The sequence below is a fragment of the Homo sapiens genome, chromosome 12 (assembly GCF_000001405.40).
Source record: "Homo sapiens chromosome 12, GRCh38.p14 Primary Assembly".
In the NCBI taxonomy this organism is placed as follows: domain Eukaryota; kingdom Metazoa; phylum Chordata; class Mammalia; order Primates; family Hominidae; genus Homo; species Homo sapiens.
The window spans coordinates 39,189,768-39,194,599 of NC_000012.12; the positions used below are offsets into that span (position 1 = coordinate 39,189,768).

At 39.3% G+C, this 4,832-nt stretch overlaps 1 annotated feature.

The window, feature by feature from the left end:
• Positions 496-695: a silencer, noted in NCBI's record as "fragment chr12:39584065-39584264 (GRCh37/hg19 assembly coordinates)". NCBI's record gives its function as "represses an EF-1alpha promoter that drives an FKBP-Casp9 reporter gene in an ReSE screen in K562 erythroleukemia cells {active_cell/tissue: K562}" and the evidence as "EXISTENCE:reporter gene assay evidence [ECO:0000049][PMID:32094911]".

Consider the following 4,832-nt stretch of genomic DNA (forward strand, 5'->3'; position numbering starts at 1 on the left):
TAATTTTAAATCGTTATGTTAAGCTCCTAGAGTGGGCCATATCATTTGAGGTGAGGTGCCACTATACCACCATGGGTCCAGATAATAGGAACTTTTGCCGTACTTCTTATCATTTCTACCATCTGACCATTTTGTTCAGATCATCTGAACATAGTGTGGCTGTGGCACGCAGACTGAGAGGTGCAATTCAAGCTAAAAATCCACTTAGAGGACCAATTAATAATGATTCCATAGGAATCATTGTGCAGCACCACTGCCTGTTCTGCAATGCAATCTTCCTAAACAAGTTGGTTCATTTTTTTCTAACTGAGTCCAATCCTGTTTACAAATAGGTTTCTGAGGGCGGTGTGCCTCAATTATATGAGCAGAATTATTATGGTAAATACTGAGATCAGAAAGCATGTGTAACTGTGTCATAGAGTGATTGCATCCAGGCATTATTGTCAGCCAAGTTTCATAAATATACCCAATAAGTATAATTGTTCTCTGTGTCAGCCCATATTGAAGGAATACTCACGGCAGTGGTGATAACCACTATCATAGCTACCATTAAATTACTCGTTGTGACTGGTTGTCCCACTTTCCTCAGGTTTTCTTCCACCATCTGTGACAGCTTCTTGATCTGTCCCCAGATGGGTGGCTGTGTTCGACGGGTGTTGCTCTTGACAGTTGGGGTCCTCCTCAGTGTCAGTCTCGACATGGCTGCAACCAGGGGGTCCTTGGGATCCTCCCAGAGTCCCTTCCTTGGCATCTGGTTCATGATAAGGTTTCAGGTGTCTTGATGGCATCCAAATCAGCTGATGATTTTGGCCTGGAGAAATACAAGCATAACCTCTACCCCAAGTTATTATTTTACCTGTTTCCCAACTTTTTGTTATTGGATCTCTCCACCAAACCAATTGTTCTGCTTCTGTCTTTGCAGCTGGTTTCTGCAGATGCTGTTCAGCTGCTGATAACATCTGGCCTTTGGGCAGGCTCAAAAAATTTAAAGTTAATAATGCTAGATTCAGTTGTATCTGTGGTGTTCCATATTCTCTGTCACCCCTTTCTGCTTTTGCAACTGCTGTTTTAGGGAGAGATTCATTCTTTCTACTATGGCTTGTCCTTGAGAATTGTATGGGATACCAGTAATGTGTTTAATATTCCACATAGGGAAAAATGTAGTTAGAGCTTGGCTAGTATAACCTGGGGCATTATCTGTTTTAATAGAAGCTGGAATGCCCATCACCACAAAACACTGCAAAAGGTGATGTTTAACACAGGCAGAAGACTCTCCTGATTGGCGTGTAGCCCAGACAAAGTGAGAAAAAGTGTCCACCCATACATGTACATAAGCTAGTCTCCCATATGAGGGAACATGTGTGACATCCATTTGCCAAAGAGAGTTAGGTTCCAGTCCTTTAGGATTAACTCTTCCTGTAAAAGATGAGGAATGTACCATTTGGCAAGTTGGGCATTGCTGGATAATAGCTTTAGCTTCTTTCCAGGTAATGCTGTATCTGCCTTTGAGACCAGAGGCATTAACATGGGTTAAATTGTGAAAGTGTCTAGCATTAGATATTGCATTAGCAACTAGGTGATCAGCCATTTGATTCCCTTCAGTCAAAGGTCCTGGAAGAGGTGTATGAGCCCTAAAGTGAGTGATGTAAAAAGGATGCATTCTACTCCTAACTGCTCTTTACAATTGGGTAAATAAAGTCATCAGTTGTTCATCTGTATGCAATTGTAACTGAACACTTTCAATTACTTGTGTGGAATGAACCACGTATGAAGAATCAGAAATCACATTAATAGGTATATCAAAAGCAATTAATACCTCAATTACAGCTACCAGCTCCGCTTTTTGAGCTGAAGTATAGGATGTCTGGAAAACTTTACTTTTTGAGCCAAAATAAGAGTACTTACCATTACTAGACCCATCTATAAAACAATGAAAATGCTTAGCAGACTGCAGGTTGTTTACTGCAGAAATTGTAAATGCAAACTGTTCACAGTCTTGCTCAGCTAAGAGGGTAGTAAAGAAATAGTCTTTTAAATCTGTGATTATTAAAGGCCAATTTTTTGGAATTATAGCAGGAGAAGGTACAATCCTGGCTGTAATGCTCCCATAGGTTGTATAACTGAATTAATGGCTCTTAAGTCAGTTAACATTCTCCATTTACCTGATTTTTTCTTAATTACGAAAACTGGAGAATTCCAAGGGGAAAATGTTGGAGCTACGTGCCCATTTTCTAATTGTTCAGTAGCTAATGTCTCTAAAGCCTCCAGTTTCTCTTTACTTAGCAGCCATTGTTCTATCCAAATTGGCTTATCTGTTAACCATTTTAAAGCTATAGGTTCTGGAGGCTTAACAATGGCCGCCATCAAAAATTATTTCCTAATCTTTGGCGAGAACTTTGTGTTTCCGCTTGAAGCGGTTCTTTTTTTTTTTTTTTTTCTTCAGGTACTCATCACCCAGCAGTTTTTAATCTGAAAATGTTGCCATATTTGCTTTAAGTTTTTTTTTCTTTTTTTTATTATTATACTTTAAGTTTTAGTGTACATGTGCACAATGCGCAGGTTAGTTACATATGTATACACGTGCCATGCTGGTGTGCTGCACCCATCAACTCATCATTTAGCATTAGGTATATATCCTAATGCTAACCCTCCCCCCTTCCCCAACCCCACAACAGTCCCCAGTGTGTGATGTTCCCCTTCCTGTGTCCATGTGTTCTCATTGTTCAATTCCCATCTATGAGTGAGAACATGCGGTGTTTTGTTTTTTGTCCTTCTGATAGTTTACTGAGAATGATGATTTGCAATTTCATCCATGTCCCTACAAAGGACATGAACTCATCCTTTTTTATGGCTGCATAGTATTCCATGGTGTATATGTGCCACATTTTCTTAATCCAGTCTATCATTGTTGGACATTTGGGTTGGTTCCAAGTCTTTGCTATTGTGAATAGTGCCACAATAAACATACGTGTGCATGTGTCCTTATAGCAGCATGATTTATAATCCTTTGGGTGTATACCCAGTAATGGGATGGCTGGGTCAAATGGTATTTCTAGTTCCAGATCCCGGAGGAATCGCCACACTGACTTCCACAATGGTTGAACTAGTTTACAGTCCCACCAACAGTGTAAAAGTGTTCCTATTTCTCCACATCCTCCCAAGCACCTGTTGTTTCCTGACTTTTTAATGATTGCCATTCTAACTGGTGTGAGATGGTATCTCATTGTGGTTTTGATTTGCATTTCTCTGATGGCCAGTAATGATGAGCATTTTTTCATGTGTCTGTTGGCTGCATAAATGTCTTCTTTTGAGAAGTGTCTGTTCATGTCCTTTGCCCACTTTTTGATGGGGTTGTTTGTTTTTTTCTTATAAATTTGTTTGAGTTCATTGTAGATTCTGGATATTAGCCCTTTGTCAGATGAGTAGGTTGGGAAAGTTTTCTCCCATTTTGTAGGTTGCCTGTTCACTCTGATGGTAGTTTCTTTTGCTGTGCAGAAGCTATTTAGTTTAATTAGATCCCATTTGTCAATTTTGGCTTTCATTGCCATTGCTTTTGGTGTTTTAGACATGAAGTCCTTGTCCATGCCTATGTCCTGAATGGTAATGCCTAGGTTTTCTTCTAGGGTTTTTATGGTTTTAGGTCTAATGTTTAAGTCTTTAATCCATCTTGAATTAATTTTTGTATAAGGTGTAAGGAAGGGATCCAGTTTCAGCTTTCTACATATGGCTAGCCAGTTTTCCCAGCACCATTTATTAAATAGGGAATCCTTTCCCCATTGCTTGTTTTTGTCAGGTTTGTCAAAGATGAGATAGTTATACATATGCGGCATTATTTCTGAGGGCTTCCTTCTGTTCCATTGATCTATATCTCTGTTTTGGTACTAGTACCATGCTGTTTTGGTGACTGTAGCCTTGTAGTATAGTTTGAAGTCAGGTAGTGTGATGCCTCCAGCTTTGTTCTTTTGGCTTAGGATTGACTTGGTGATGCGGGCTCTTTTTTGGTTCCATATGAACTTTAAAGTAGTTTTTTGCAATTCTGTGAAGACAGTCATTGGTAGCTTGATAGGGATGGCATTGAATCTATAAATTACCTTGGGCAGTATGGCCAGTTTCACCATATTGATTCTTCCTACCCATGAGCATGGAATGTTCTTCCATTTGTTTGTATCCTCTTTTATTTCCTTGAGCAGTGGTTTGTAGTTCTCCTTGAAGAGGTCCTTCACGTCCCTTGTAACTTGGATTCTTAAGTATTTTATTCTCTTTGAAGCAATTGTGAATGGGAGTTCTCTCATGATTTGGCTCTCTGTTTGTCTGTTATTGGTGTATAAGAATGCTTGTGATTTTTGTACATTGATTTTGTATCCTGAGACTTTGCTGAAGTTGCTTATCAGCTTAAGGAGGTTTGGGGCTGAGATAATGGGGTTTTCTAGATATACAATCATGTCATCTGCAAACAGGGACAATTTGACTTCCTCTTTTCCTAACTGAATACCCTTTATTTCCTTCTCCTGCCTAATTGCCCTGGCCAGAACTTCCAACACTATGTTGAATAGGAGTGGTGAGAGAGGGCATCTCTGTCTTGTGCCCGTTTTCAAAGGGAATGCTTCCAGTTTTTGCCCATTCAGTATGATATTGGCTGTGGGTTTGTCATAGATAGCTCTTATTATTTTGAGATACGTCCCATCAATACCTAATTTATTGAGAGTTTTTAGCATGAAGCGTTCTTGAATTTTCTCAAAGGCCTTTTCTGCATCTATTGAGATAATCACGTGGTTTTTGTCTTTGTTTCTGTTTATATGCTGGATTACATTTATTGATTTTCATATATTGAA